General features: G+C 38.1%; 1 long non-coding RNA gene across 1 annotated transcript in view, besides 1 other annotated feature; it reads right to left on the reverse strand.

Annotated features, from left to right (window-relative positions):
- The window catches only part of LINC01572 (long intergenic non-protein coding RNA 1572), a 384,069-nt gene that overhangs the window by 40,845 nt on the left and 326,480 nt on the right, over window positions 1-16,744 (reverse strand). The gene's annotated exons all lie outside the window — the stretch shown is intronic.
- Window positions 12,862-13,031: an enhancer, noted in NCBI's record as "experimental_44023 CRE fragment used in MPRA reporter constructs". NCBI's record gives its function as "activates a minimal promoter by MPRAs in K562 erythroleukemia cells, with activity observed for both the introgressed and non-introgressed 16:72368592 variant alleles {active_cell/tissue: K562}" and the evidence as "EXISTENCE:reporter gene assay evidence [ECO:0000049][PMID:34662402]".

Consider the following 16,744-nt stretch of genomic DNA (forward strand, 5'->3'; position numbering starts at 1 on the left):
TTGGCTTATTTCATTAATTCCTTTCTTTTACATGAATAACACATTACAGGTACTGTTGAAGCCCTCTGGTATCATTCCATGATCCTATTTATCTCTCCCTCCCTCTCTACTGGTGACCACTACTATTCAGGTTCTGTTTTTATGCTTTTACACATACATTTATCTCACACATGTGTACATATACATAAATAATATACAGGGCTGTTATGCATTTCATAAGTTTTAAATTAGTTGACTAACAGTGGATACAATAAGTATATGATTTTGCAACTTGCTTTTTCATGCAACATGTTTTTGAGATTTATCCATACAGATACTTGTAGCAACATTTTGTTGCGGTTCCTGGGTTGTTATTTTAACTTTTATTTTAGGTTCAGGGGTACATGTACAGGTTTGTCATATAGGTAAATTGCATGTCACAGGGGTTTTGTGTACAGATTATTTTGTCACCCAGGTAATAAGCATAGTATGTGGCAGATGGTTTTTTAATCCTCATCCTCCTCCCACTCTCTCAAGTACATCCCAGTGTCTGTTGTTCCCTACTCTGTGTCCATGTGAACTCAATGTTTAGCTTCCACTTACAAGTGAGAACATGCAGTATTTGGTTTTCTGTTCCTGCATTAGTTCACTTAGGATACTGGCCTCTAGCTCTATACACGTTGCTGCAAAGACCATGATCTCATTCTATTTTATGGCTGCATAGTATTCTATGGTGTCTGTGTACCACATTTTCTTTATCCAGTCTATCGTTGATGGGAATCTAGGTTGATTCCATGTCTTTGCTATTGATTCCAGCAGTGTTTTGTAATTTTCATAGTAGAGACCTTTTATCTCTCTGATTAGTTGTACTGGAAGGTGTTTTATTCTTTTTGTGACTATTATGAATGGGGTTGCATTCTTTGGGATTTGGCTCTCAGGTTGGATTTTGTTGGTGTATAGAAATGCTACTGATTTCTGTACATTGATTTTGTACCCTAAAACTTTGCTGAAGTTGTTGATTACATCTAGGGGCTTTTGGGCAAAGAGTATGAGGTTTTCTAGGTATAGAATTATATTGTTTGCAAACAGAAATAGTTTGACTTCTTCTCTTCCTATTTAGATTCTTTTTTTTTCTTTCTCTTGCCTGATTTCTCTGGCTAGGACTTCTGGTACTATGTCAAATAGGAATGGTGAGAGAGTGGGTATCCTTGTCTTGTTCTGGTTCTCAAAGGAAATGCAGAAGCTAGAAAGCGTTTGATCATTCAGTATAATGCTGGCTGTGGGTCTGTCATAGATGGCTCTTATTATTTTGAGGTATGCTGCTTCAATGTCTAGTTTGTTAAAGGTTTTTAAAATGAAGGGATGTTGAATTTTTAAAAAAGCCTTTTATGTGTCTACTGACATGATCATGTGGTTTTTGTTTTTAGTTCTATGTGATGAATCACACTTATTGATTTGTGTATATTGAACCAAGTTTGCATCCCAGGGATACAGCCTGCTCGATCATGGTGGATTAGCTTTTTGATGTGCTGCTGAATTCAGTTTGCTAGTATTTTGTTTAGGATTTTTGCATCTATGTTCATCAGGGATATTGGCCTAAAGTAATCTTTTTTTGGTGTGTCTCTGTCAGTTTTTGGTATCAAAATGATGATACTTCATAGAATGAGTTAGGGAGGGGTACCTTCCTATCGAGTCACCTCCCAATCGAGTACTTCCTCAATTTTTGGGAATAGTTTAAGTAGAACTGGTACCAGCTTTTCTTTAAACATCTGGTAGAATTTAGCTGTGAATTCATCTGGTCCTGGGCTTTTTCTGGTTGGTAAGATTTTTATGGCCGGGTGCGGTGGCTCACGCCTGTAATCCCAGCACTTTGGGAGGCCGAGGCGGGTGGATCATGAGGTCAGGAGATCGAGACCATCCTGGCTAACAAGGTGAAACCCCGTCTCTACTAAAAATACAAAAAATTAGCCGGGCGCGGTGGCGGGTGCCTGTAGTCCCAGTTACTCGGGAGGCTGAGGCAGGAGAATGGCGTGAACCCGGGAAGCGGAGCTTGCAGTGAGCCGAGATTGTGCCACTGCAGTCCGCAGTCCAGCCTGGGCGACAGAGCGAGACTCCGTCTCAAAAAAAAAAAAAAAAAAAAAAGATTTTTATTACTGATTCAACTTCAGAAATCGTTATTGTCTGTTCAGGGATTCAATTTTTTCTTGGCTCAGTCTTGGGAGGTTTTATGTTTTATAGAATTCCTTCCATAGAAGAAATGGAATTTATCAATTTCTTCTATGTTTTCTAGTTTGTGCACACAGAGGTGTTCATAGTATCCTCATAGTCACTGAGGGTTCTTTGAATTTTCGTAGGGTGTTAATGGCCCCTTTGTCACTTCTGATTGTGTTTATTTGGATTTTATCTCTTTACTAGTCTAGACAGTGGTCTATCAATTGTATTTGATCTTTCAAAAAACAAATTCCTGGGTTTCTTTATCTTTTGTGTGGTTTTTCACATCCCAATTTCCCTCAGTTCAGCTCTGATTTTTGTTATTTTTCGTCTTCTGCTAGCTTTAGTGTTGGTTTGCTCTTGTTTTTCTAGTTCTTCTAGACATGATGCTATGTTGTTAATTTGAGATCTTTCTAACTTTTTGATGTGGGCATTTAGTGCTGTAAGAGATTCTGGCAAGATGGCCGAATAGGAACAGCTCTGGTCTGCAGCTCCCATCGTGATCAATGCAGAAGACAGGTGACTTCTTCATTTCCAACTGAGGTACCTGGTTCATCCCACTGGGACTGGTTGGACAGTGGGTGCAGCCCACAGAGGGCGAGCTGAAGCAGGGCCGGGTGTTGCCTCACCTGGGAATGCAAGGGGTCAGGGGATTTCCCTTTCCTAGCCAAGGGAAGCCATGACAGACTACCTGAAAAAATGGGGCACTCTCACCCAAATACTGAGCTTTTCCTAAAGGTCTTATCAACTAGCAGACAAGGTGATTCTCTCTTGTGCCTGGCTTGGCGGGTCCCATGCCCATGAAGCCTTGCTCACTGCTAGTGCAACAGTCTGAGATTGATCCGCGAGGTGGCAGCCTGGCTGAGGCAGGGGCGTCTGCCATTGCTGAGGTTTGAGTAGGTAAACAAAGCGGCCAGGAAGCTCAAACTGGGCGGAGCCCACTGCAGCCCAATAAGGCCTACTGCCTCTAGACTCCACCTCTCTGTGCAGGGCATAGCTGAACAAAAGGCAGCAGATAACTTCTGCAGACTTAAACGTCTCCGTCTGAAAGCTCTGAAGAGAGCAGTGGTTCTCCCAGCATGGCGTTTAAGCTCTGAGAACGGACAGACTGCCTCCACAAGTGGGTCCCTGACCCCCATGTAGCCTAACTGGGAGACATCTCCCAGTAGGGGCCAACAGACACCTCATATAGGCGGCTGCCCCTCTGGGACAAAGCTTCCAGAGGAAGGATCAGGCAGCAATATTTGCTGTTCTGCAATAATTGCTGTTCTGCAGCCTCCGCTGGTGATACCCAGTGAAACAGGGTCTAGAGTGGAACTCCAGCAAACTCCAACAGATCTGCAGCTGAGGGACCTGACTGTTAGAAGGAAAACTAACAAACAAAAAGGAATAGCATCAACATCAACAAAAAGGTCATCTACACCAAAACCCCATTTGTAGGTCACTAACATCAAAGACCAAAGGTAGATAAAAACACAAAGATGGGGAGAAAACAGAGCAGAAAAGCTGAAAATTCTAAAAATCAGAGCACCTCTTCTCTTCCAAAGGATCGCAGCTCCTCGCCAGCAATGGAACAAAGCTGGATGGGGAATAACTTTGATGATTGACAGAAGTAGGATTCAGAAGGTCAGTAATAACAAACTTCTCAGAGTTAAAGGAGGATGTTCGAGCCCATCACAAGGAAGCTAAAAACCTTGAAAAAAGATTCGATGAATGACTAACTGGAATAAACAGTGTAGAGAAGACCTTAAATGACCTGATGGAGCTGAAAACCATGGCACAAGAACTTTGTGAATCATGTACAAGCTTCAATAGCTGATTCGATCAAGTGGCAGAAAGGGTATCAGTGATTGAAGATCAAATTAATGAAATAAAGCCAGAAGACAAGGTTAGAGAAAAAAGAGTAAAAAGAAATGAACAAAGCCTCCAAGAAATATGGGACTATGTGAGAACACCAAATCTATGTTTGATTGGTGTACCTGAAAGTGATGGGGAGAATGGAACCACGTTGGAAAACACTCTTCAGTATATTATCCAGGAGAACTTCCCCAACCTAGCAAGGCAGGCCAACATTCAAATTCAGGAAATACAGAGAACACCACAAACATACTCCTCAAGAAGAGCAACCCCAAGACACATAATTGTCCGATTCACCAAGGTTGAAATGAAGGAAAAAGTGTTAAGGGCAGCCAGAGAGAAGGGTCGAGTTACCCACAAAGGGAAGCCAATCAGAGTAACAGCAGATCTCTTGGCAGAAACCCTGCAAGCCAGAAGAGAGTGGGGGCCAATATTCAACATTCTTAAAGAAAAGAATATTCAACCCAGAATTTCATATCCAGCCAAACTAAGCTTCACAAGTGAAGGAGAAATAAAATCCTTTACAGACAAGCAAATGCTGGGAGATTTTGTCACCACCAAGCCTGCCTCACAAGAGCTCCTGAAGGAAGCACTAAACACGGAAAGAAACAACCAGTACCAGCCGCTGCAAAAACATGCCAAATTGTAAAGACCCTTGACGCTATGAAGAAACTGCATCAATTAACAGGCAAAATAACCAGCGAACATCATAATGACAGGATCAAATTCACACATAACAATATTAACCTTAAATGTAAATGGGCTAAATGTCCCAATTAAAAGACACAGACTGGGAAGTTGGATAAAGAGTCAAGACCCATCAGTGTGCTGTATTCAGGAGACCCATCTCACTTGCAGAGACACACATAGCCTCAAAATAAAGGGATGGAGGAAGATCTACCAAGCAAATGGAAAGCAAAAAAATGCAGGGGTTGCAATCCTAGTCTCTGATAAGACAGACTTTAAACCAACAAAGACCAAAAGAGACAAAGAAGGCCATTACATAATGGTAACGGGATCAATTCAACAAGAAGAGCTAACTATCCTAAATATATATGCACCCAATACAAGAGCACCCAGATTCACAAAGCAAGTCCTTAGAGACCTATAAAGAGACCTAGACTCCCAATGAATAATAGTGGGAGACTTTAACACTCCACTGTCAATATTAGACAGATCAATGAGACAGAAGGTTAACAAGGATATCCAGGACCTGAACTCAGCTCTGCAACAAGCAGACCTAATACACATCTACAGAACTCTCCACCCCAAATCAACAGAATATACATTCTTCTCAGCACCACATTACACTTATTCTAAAATTGACCTCATAATTGGAAGTAAAGCACTCCTCAGCAAATGTAAAATAACAGAAATTACAACAAACTGTCTCTCAGACCACAGTGAAATCAAATTAGAACTCAGGATTAAGAAACTCACTCAAAAACTGCACAATTACATGGCAACTGAACAACTTGCTCCTGAATGACTACTGGGTAAATAATGAAATGAAGGCAGAAATAAAGATGTTCTTTGAAACCAATGAGAACAAAGACATAATGTACAGAATCTCTGGGACACATTTAAAGCACTGTGTAGAGGGAAATTTATAGCACTAAATGCCCATGAGAGAAAGCAGGAAAGATCTAAAATCTACACCCTAACATCACAATTAAAAGAACTAGAGAAGCAAGAACAAACAAATTCAAAAGTTAGCAGAAGGCAAGAAATAACTAAGATCAGAGCAGAACTAAAAGAGATAGAGACACAAAAAACCCTTCAAAAAATAAATGAATCTGGGGGATGGTTTTTTGAAAAGATCAACAAAATTGATATACCACTAGCAAGACAAATAAAGAAGAAAAGAGAGAAGAATCAAATAGATGCAATAAAAAATGATTAAGGGGATATCACCACCAATCCCACAGACATACAAACTACCATCAGAGAATACTATAAACACCTCTACACAAATAAACAAGAAAATCTAGAAGAAATGGATAAATTCCTGGACACATATACCCTCCCAAGACTAAACCAGGAAGAAACTGAATCTCTGAATAGACCAATAACAGACTCTGAAACTGAGGCAATAATTAATAGCCTACTAACCAAAAAAAGTCCAGGACCAGATGGATTCACAGCCGAATTCTACCAGAGGTACAAAGAGGAGCTGGTACCATTCCTTCTGAAACTATGCCAATCAATAGAAAAAGAGGGAATCCTCCTTAACTCATTTTATGAGGCCAACATCATCCGATACCAAAGCCTGGCAGAGACACAACAAAAAAAGAGAATTTTAGACCAATATCCCTGATGAACATTGATGCAAAAATCCTCAATAAATTACTGGCAAACTGAATCCAGCAGCACATCAAAAAGGTTATCCACCATGATCAAGTCGGCTTCATCCCTGGGATGCAAGGGTGGTTCAACACATGCAAATCAATAAATGTAATCCATCACATAAACAGAACCAATGACAAAAGCCACATGATTATCTCAATAGATGCAAAAAAGGCCTTCCACAAAATCCAACAGCCTTTCATGCTAAAAACTCTCAATAAACTAGGTATTGATGGAACATACCTCAAAATAATAAGAGCTATTTATGACAAACCCACAGCCAGTATCATACTGAATGGGCAAAAGCTGGAAGCATTCCCTTTGAAAACTAGCACAAGACAAGAATGCCCTCTCTCACCACTCCTATTCAACACAGTGTTGGAAGCTCTGGCCAGCGCAATCAGGCAAGAGAAAGAAATAAAGCGTATTCAATTAGGAAAAGAGGAAGTCAAATTGTTCCTGTTTGCAGATGACATGATTGTATATTTAGAAAACCCCATTGTCTCAGCCCAAAATCTCCTTGAGCTGCTAAACAACTTCAGCAAAGTCTCAGGATACAAAATCAATGTGCAAAAATCACAAGCATTCCTATACACCATTAACAGACAAACAGAGAGCCAAATCATGAGTGAACTCCCATTCACAATTGCTACAAAGAGAATAAAATACCTAGGAATCCAACTTACAAGGATGTGAAGGACCTCTTCCAGGAGAACTACAAACCACTGCTCAACGAAATAAAAGAGGACACAAACAAATGGAAGAATATTCCACACTCATGGATAGGAAGAATCAATATCATGAAAATGGCCATACTGCCCAAAGTAAATTATAGATTCAATGCCATCCCCATCAAGCTACCAATGACTTTCTTCACAGAGTTGGAAAAAACTACTTTAAAGTTCAAATGGAACCAAAAAAGAGCCTGCATTGCCAAGACAATCCTAAGCCAAAAGAACAAAGCTGGAGGCATCATGCTACCTGACTTCAAACTATATTACAAGGCTACAGTAACCAAAACAGCATGGTACTGTTACCAAAACAGATATATGGACCAATGAAACAGAACAAAGCCCTCAGAAATAACACCACACATCTACAACCCTCTGATCTTTGACAAACCTGACAAAAACAAGAAATGGGGAAAGGATTCCCTGTTTAATAAATGGTGCTTGGAAAACTGGCTAGCCATATGCAGAAAGCTGAAACTGGATCCCTTCCTTACACCTTATACAAAAATTAATTCAAGATGGATTAAAGACTTAAATGTTAGACCTAAAACCATAAAAACCCTAGAAGAAAACCTAGGCAACACCATTCAGGACATAGGCATGGGCAAGGACTTCATGACTAAAACACCAAAAGCAATGGCCACTAAAGCCAAAATAGACAAATGGGATCTAATTAAAGAGCTTCTGCACAGCAAAAGAAACTACCATCAGAGTGAACAGGCAACCTACAGAATGGGAGAAAATTTTTGCAATCTACTCATCTGAAAAAGGGCTAATATCCAGAATCTACAAAGAACTCAAACAAATTTACAAGAAAAAAACAACTCCATCAAAAAGTGGGCAAAGGATATGAACAGACGCTTCTGAAAAGAAGACATCTATGCAGCCAACAGACACGTGAAAAAATGCTCATCATCACTTGTCATTAGAGAAATGCAAATTAAAACCACAATGAGAGAAAAAAACAACTCCATCAAAAAGTGGGCGAAGGATATGAACAGACGCTTCTGAAAAGAAGACATCTATGCAGCCAACAGACACGTGAAAAAATGCTCATCATCACTTGTCATTAGAGAAATGCAAATTAAAACCACAATGAGATACCGTCTCATGCCAGTTAGAATGGCAATCATTAAAATGTCAGGAAACAACAGATGCTGGAGAGGATGTGGAGAAATAGGAATGCTTTTACACTGTTGGTGGGAGTGTAAATCAGTTCAACCACTGTGGAAGACAGTGTGGCGATTCCTCAAGGATCTAGAACTAGAAATATCATTTGACCCAGCCATCCATTACTGGGTATATACCCAAAGGATTATAAATCATGCTACTATAAAGACACATGCATATGTACGTTTATGGAGGCACTATTCACAATTGCAAAGACTTGGAACCAACCCAAATGTCCATCAATGATAGACTGGATTGAGAAAATGTGGCACATATACACCATGGAATACTATAGAGCCATAAAAAAGGATGAGTTCATGTCCTTTGCGGGGAGATGAATGAAGCTGGAAACCATCATTCTCAGCAAACTATCACAAGGACAGAAAACCAAACACTGCATGTTCTTACTCATAGGTGGGAACTGAACAATGAGATCACTTGGACACAGGACGGGGAACATCACATACCGGGGCCTTGTTGGGGGGTGGTGGGCTGGGGGAGGGGTAGCATCAGGAGAAATACCTAATGTAAATGATGAGTTGATGGGTGCAGCAAAGCAACATGGCACATCTATACCTATGTATCAAACCTGCACGTTGTGCACATGTACCCTAGAACTTAAAGTATAATTAAAAAAAAAAAGAGAGAGAGATTCTGGCATGTGGTATCTTTGTTCACATTAGTTTCAAAGAATTTATGGAATTGTGCCTGAATTTTATTGTTTACCCAAAAGTCATTCAGGAGCAGTTTGTTTAATTTCCGTGTAATTGTACAGTTTTGAGTGATTTTTAAATATCGATTTCTATTTTTATTGTGCTATGCTCTGAGAGTGTGGTTGGTATGATTTTTTTTTGAGTTTGCTAAAAAATTTTTTTGAGTTTGCTAAGAATGATTGTGTGGTCAATTTTAGAGTATGTGCCATGTAAAGATGAGAATAATATATATTCTGTTGTTTTGGGGTGAAGAATTCTGTAGATGTCTTTTAGGTCTATTTGGTTAAGTGTCAAGATCAGGTGTCAAAAATCTTTGATAGTTTTCTACCTCAATAATCTGTCTGTGAGGTGGGTGTTAAAATCTCCCACTATTATTGTGTGGTTATCTAAGTCTCTTCATAGGTCTCTAAGAACTTGATTATGAATCTGGGTACTCCCTTGTTGAGCCCATGTAGTTAGGATAGTTAGCTCTTCTTGTTGAACCCTTTACTGTTATGTAATTTCCTTCTTTGTCTTTTCTGATCACTGTTTTCTTAAATTATGTTTTATCTAAAATTAGAATAGCAACCCTCACTTTTTTTCTGTTTTCTAGCTAGATTTTTCTCCATCCCTTCATTTTGAGCCTATGGATGATGGATGTCATTGTATGTTAGATGGGTCTCTTGAAGACAGCATGCAGTTGGGTCTTGTTTCTTTATCCAATTTGCCATTCTGTGCCTTTTAATTGGGGCTTTTAGCCTGTTTACATTCAAGGTTAATAGTGATATGTGCAGATTTAATCCTGTCATCGTGGTGTTAGCTGGTTATTATGCAGATTTGATTGTGTGGTCACATTATAGTGTCAATGGTCTATGTACTTAGTGTGCTTTTGTGATGACTGGTAATGGTCGTTCCTTTCTGTATTTAGCAATCCCTTAAAGGCCCCTTCTAAGACAGATCTGGTGGCAACAAACTTCTTTAGCATTTGCTTATCTGAAAAGGATCTTATTTCTCCTTTACTTATGAAGCTTAATTTGGCTGGATATAAAATTCATGGTTGCAATTTCTTTTCTTTAAGAACACTGAATATAGGCCCCCAATCCCCCAATCTCTTCTGGCTTGTAAGGTTTCTGCTGAAAGATTTGCTGTTAGCCTGATGGGGTTCCCTTGTAGGTGACCTGCCCTTTCTCTCTAGCTGCCTTTAACATTTTGTCTTTCACTTTGACCTTGGAGAATATGATGACTATGTGTCTTGGGGATGGTTGTCTTGTATAGTATGCAGGGGTTCTCTGCATTTCCTGAATTTGAATGTTGGCCTCTCCAGTGAAGTTGGGGAAATTTTCATGGATGGTATCCTCAAATATGTTTTCCAAGTTGTTTGCTTTCTCTCCCTCTCTTTCAGGAAAACCAGTGAGTCACAGATTTGGTCTCTTTAGACAATCCCATATTTCTTGGAGGTTTTGTTTATTCTTCTTTATTCTTTATTTTTGTCTAAGTTATTTCAGAGAACTGGTCTTCAAGCTCTGAGATTCTTTCCTCAGGTTTGTTGATCTGCTGTCAATACTTGTAATTGTTTTATGAAATTCTTGAAGTGAGTTTTTCAGTTGTATCAGATCAGTTTGGTTCTTTCCTAAAATAGCCATTTTGTCTTTCATCTCCTGTATTGTTTTATTGTATTCCTTAGATTTCTTGGATTTGGTCTTGACTTTCTCCTGAATCTTGATGATCTTTGTTCCTATTCATATTCTGAATTCTGTTTCTGTCATTTCAATAATTTTATCCTGGTTAAGAACCATTACTGGGGAACTAGTGTGGTTATTTGGAGGTAAGAAGATACTCTCGCTTTTTGAGTTACCAGAGTTCTTGTACTGGTTCACTTATTCTTTGTGGGCTGATATTCCTTCAATCTTTGAAGTTGCTGTCCTTTGGATTTTTTTTTTTCTCTTATCCTCTTTGATGTCCTTGGGGGTTTGATTGTAGTATAGGGTGGGTTCAGTCAACTGGTTTCATTTCTGGAAGATTTCAGGGGAACAAGGCTCAGCTCATCACTCATGGACTGTGTCCTGTAACTCCTGGGGGGCTGGTACCAGGACCCTGGCTTTGCTCTCTGGCCCCTTGAGGTTAGGAACCTGCTGTGCTGGAGGGACTGAGGTGTTCCCAATCTGCTGGTCATTACACTTTAATGGGTGGTGCTGGCCAAAGCACTTTATCAAGATGGTGGCAGCAGGATTCATGCTCACTTGGATGCCAGCAGCCATGGCAACACAGTGGGATGTGTGTGCATCAGCTGGGGTGGGGTACTGGTGGGAGCAGGGCTGAAGCACTCCTGAACAGACTTGTGCCAGTAGTGGTGGCAGAAGGCAGGGGCAGGGCACTGGCAGGGGTGGGGTTGCTGGTGTCCATGCTTGCACTCACAGTGGCAGTGGCAGCAGGGGGCAGGATGCTGGTGGGCACAGGATGTTGGTGGGTGTGAGATGCTGGCAGGCACAGGCATGCTGGTGTCTGTGTGCATGTTCACCTGAGTAGTGGTGTCAGGTGGAAGGCGAAGCTGCTGGTGTCCATGAGCACATTCGCATTGGTGGTGGTGGTGGTGCAGGAGGGGCAGTATTGCCAGCACCTGTGAACATTTTTGTGTTGGTGATGGCAGCTAAAGTTTTTAAGTATATGAGTAAATCATGCTTTTTATCCATTCTTCTACTGCCATTTAGTTGTTAATTTGTTCCCCAGTTTTTACCTTTATAAGCAATGTTGATACAAACAGTCTTGTAAACATTCCCTTTTGCATACGAACAAGTTATTATAGAGTAGTGATTCTCAAGTAAGGTGGGGTATTGGACCCCTCCCAAAGTCGAAAGTGCTTGGAAATGTATAAAAACTGTCTGGGTTATCAAATTACTGGCAGTAGTACTACCAGCTTTAGTACTGGGAACCAGAGATGCTCAATGTCCTTCAATGCGTTGGATGGTAACACATAAAGAACTATCCCACTCCGAATGCAAATAAGTCCACCACTAGAAACACTATTCTAAATATATCTCTGTAAGTGACAAAACTGTATCAGAGTATGTAAATCCTCCTCAACTTTATTTTATATTGAAAGATGGCTTTTCAATCTAGTTTTACCAATTTATAACTCCACCAGTTCTTATTAAGGCCACATCCTTGCTAACACTTGTGACTATTAAATTTTATAATTTTTTGCACATTTAATAAAAATTAAATGGTGTTTCATTATTTTCTTAATTTTCATTTCTAGGGATACTAGTTGAAGCGGAACATGTTTTCATGCAGCCACTGGAGTCTAGTCTTCTGTTCAGTCTAGTCTGTGAAATGTCTATTCTTATCCTTTGTTTATTTTTTATTGCGTATTTATCTTTCCCTTATTGGTTTATAAGAGTTGAATGCAGTGCACCAGCATGACACATGTATACATATGTATCTAACCTGCACAATGTGCACATGTAGATAATTAAAAAAAAAAAGAGTTGAATGCATCTTGGATATATTGTGGCTACAAATTCTTTGTGTATATTGTAACTATACATCAATAGTATATGTTATAGATATCTTGCCTCACCTATCTCTTACCTTTGAATTTTGTTTGTGGTGTCTTTTGTAGAATAGGAAATTTTAAAAGTTTTAATGTAGACAAGTTTATTAATATTTTCTTTTCTGGTTTGTGCTTTTGGCATTTTGGTCAATATGCTCCTTCTTACCATACTCTCGTATATTTTCTTTATGGAGTTTAATGCTTTTGCTTACTCCACCCCTCATATCTGGGTCTTTAACCTGTGGATTTTTTTTTTTTTTTTGGTTATATGAGTTAGAAAACTAATTTTATTTTCATATGGATTACCAATTGGTACATCAAATTAATTTAACTGTCTGTCATTTTCCCACTGATTTCTAATATCCCTTCTTTGAGTTTCAGTTGTTCTGCATTCTTGTCAGCACTTGTTATGATCAATATTTTTAATTTTAGATATTTTAATAGGCGTATAGTGGTATTTCATTGTGGTTTTAACTTAACACCTCTCTAACAACTAATGCTGCTGAGCATATTTTCATGTACTTACTTACCAACTATATCTTTTTTGGTAAAGTGTCCTTCCAATTCTTGTCCATTTTAAGATTTTTTTTAATTGTTGATTTTTGAAGGTTTTTAAATATAGTCTGGATATAAGTCCTTTATCAGAAATACATTTTCCAAATATTTCTTATATTCTGTGTCATATAATTTCGTTTTTCAACAATGTCTTTTAAAGAGCAACATTTCAAGGTTTTTTATAAAAGTCAATGTATCAGTTTCTTCTTTTATGGTTTGTGCTGTGTTCTACCTAAAAATCTTTTTCTAATCCAAGAAATTTTGTATACAAATGCACTAAGGGCTGAGATTATTTTTCTTTGCAGACGTATGTATAATAATTCCAGCTCCATTTGTTGAAAAACTATCCTTTCTCCATTGAATGGCCTTGGCACCTTTGTCAAAAGTCAAATTGACCATATATGTGTGGATCTATTTTTGGACTCTCTATCCTGTTCCATTGATCTATAGATCTTTTCTTATACCGGTTTGAACGACTTGACTACTGTAGCTTTATATTAAGTCTAGAAATTAGATGGTATGAGTTCTCTAATTGTGTTCTGTTTCTCAAAAGTATTTCCCCTTTGGTCCTTTGCTTTTCTAGAGAAATTTTAGAAACAACCTATCAATTTATAGTGGGGAAAAAAGCTACTGAGATTTAGAAGGTCAGAGTTGCATTGAGTCTCTGGACCAATTAGAAAACTGACATATTTTTTCCACATTGAGTCTTCCCGTCCATAAATATGGTATTATTTCTCTATTTATCTGTAGATATTTAAATTTTTCTTAACAATGTTTTACATTTTCAGGCTACACACTTTGCACATATTTTGTTAGAACTGCCTCAGAGTATTTCAGGATTTCTGATGCTATTGTTTTTAAATTTCATTTTCTAATCGTTTACTGCTGCTATATAGAAATGCAATTGATTTTTATAACATTGGCCTTATATCATAAGATTTGCTAAACTCACATATTAGTTCTAGGAGCCATTTTTTGTAGATTATTTGGAATTTCCAATAAACAATATTATGCCATCTGTGAATAAAGACAAATTTTACTTCATCGTTTCCATTCTGCATGCCTGTTATTTCTTATTCATGCCTTATTGCACCGGTTAGTACCTTGAGTACAATGTTTTTTTGTTTGTTTGTTTTGTTTTGTTTTTCGAGATGGAGTTTCACTCCTGTTGCCCAGGCTGGAGTGCAATGGCACAATTGCGGCTCACCACAACCTCCGCCTCCCAGGTTCAAGCAATTCCCCTGCCTCAGCCTACCCAGTAGCTGGGATTACAGGCAAGTGCCATCGTGCCCAGCTAATTTTGTATTTTTAGTAGAGACGGGGTTTCCCCATGTTGGTCAGGTTGGTCTTAAACTCCCGAACCCAGGTGATCTGCCCGCCTCGGCTTCCCAAAGTGCTGGGATTACAGGCGTAAGCCACCATGCCAGGCCCTCAGTACAATGTTAAAGGGCTGCTTTGTTAGTGATCTTAAGAGGAAAGCCTTCAATTTCTCACCCTTAAGTATGATGTTAGCTGTAGGTTTTAGTTGATATCCTTTATTAATTTCAGGACATTCCCTCCTATTCCTAACTTGCTGAGCATACCTTTTTAAAAAAATCATGAGCAAATGTTGGGTTTTGTTAAATACTTTTTCTGCAACTACTGAGATTAATATTTTTGAAGGGAAGGAGACTGTTTTAATTGGTGATTCTTGCCATTTTTGACAGATACTGTTTATCAGGTTAAGGACATTTTCTTCAATTCCTAGTTTCTAAATTTAAAATTTTCTGAATAGATTTTATTTTTATTTAATGCTTTGTATCATTTTGATGCTTGTATAACTTTTATTCTTTATTGTTTACATAATAAATAACACTAACATATTAAACAATGCTTGTATTCCTAACATAAACCTTACTTTGCCTATCTGAATCTGATTTGTGTTTTACTTGGGATTTGAATCTATATTCAAAATGCAATTGGTCTAATAGTTTCTTTCCTTCCACAGTTATTTCCATCAGTACCAAAACTACTCTTGCTTCATAAGAAAAATTTGGTATGCCTGCTTTATCTTTTTACTATTTTCTAATCAAGTTTGTATAAAACAGTAATTAATTTTCCTTAAATGTGTGGTAAAATCGTCATTTCTGGTCCTTTTTACATGGATTCTTTGATTACTAATTCAATTTTCTTAATGATTATTCATTTATTCAGATTTTTATTTCTTTCTGGATAATTTTTATAATTTAAGAAAAGTCCATTTTAGGCTGGGCGCGGTGGCTCACGCCTGGGAGCCAGCACTTTGGGAGGCCAAGCCAGGTGGATCATGAGGTCAGGAGTTCGAGACCAGCCTGACCAACATGGTGAAATCCCGTCTCTACTGAAAAAAAAAAAAAAATACAAAAATTAGCTGGGCATGGTGGTGCATGACTGTAATCCCAGCTACTCAGCAGGCTGAGGCAGGAGAATCACTTGAATCTGGGAGGCAGAGGTTGCAGTGAGCCAAGATTGCGCCATTGTGCTCCAGCCTGGGCAACAGAGTGAGACGCTGTCTCAAAAAAATTAAAAAGTCCATTTTAAATGTTTTTGAATATATTGGCATACAATTATTCATAATATTCATAAGTGATTGAAAAATTCTCTACAGATTTATACCTCTGTTCTATTTTTTAATCCTAATTTTTATTAATCTGTGTTTTTTATATCTGTTCTTAATTTGTCTGGCTACATGCTTTTTTTTTTTTTTTACTCTTTTCAAAGACTGGTTTTTGACTTGTTGATCCTCTGTATTATTTCTTTGTTTTTAATTTTATTAGTTTATGCTTTTTTCTCCATTATTTCTTTCCTTCTACTTTTTTTTTTATTTATTCTGTTCTAGCTTCATGAGTCAAACACTTAAGTTACTTTTTTACAATCTTTTTTATGCTTCACAAATATATTTAAAGGTATACATTTATGCTTCAGTACCATGTGGTTACAGTGCATGAATTTTAATATATAGAACTTTAATTTTCATTTCTATCTAAATCTTTTCACATTTGCTTTGTAGATTTTCTTTTAAAGGCAGCCCAGAGAACAGGGAAGTGGAGCAAGAGCAGGGAGGAGTCACAAAAAGACAAACCAGGAGACTCCTTTCCCACTGGAAGTTCCCAGGTCTGGGTCAGAACTGAGCTGCAGGAGAGTAGAAAAGGGTAGGAGCTTTAAATTGGATTTACAAGGGACTAGATTTTTTACTACCTGAAAATGAAGATTGTTTATTAATACCTGAAAGTGACAAAAAAAACAAAAAACAAAACAAAAAAAACCCCTGGGGTCCGTGTCAGAGGAAGTAGATCAGACAGGAGTGTGGAAGGGATTAGTTGGAAGGATACAAGACTATTTCTTGATTGAAACCTACTGAATCCAACATGTTCAATGAACACGTATTGTAATTACTGATATATCTGGACTCATTTCTAAATTGTTATTTTGCATTTTCTATTTATTTTGTTTTTATTTCCTTTTTAATCTGCATATTATATTGATAAAAATTTTCATATTCTTTTCCATTTCAAGTTTGAAAACTATATTCATTTATAAATAAATTTTTCTAAAGTCTAAAACATTAAGTTATTACATACATAACTCTTCCTCTTGCATATCACATGGATATTTGTGCATGTTAATTGCCCATT

Source organism: Homo sapiens, chromosome 16 (genome assembly GCF_000001405.40).
Source record: "Homo sapiens chromosome 16, GRCh38.p14 Primary Assembly".
NCBI classification, from domain to species: Eukaryota; Metazoa; Chordata; class Mammalia; order Primates; family Hominidae; genus Homo; species Homo sapiens.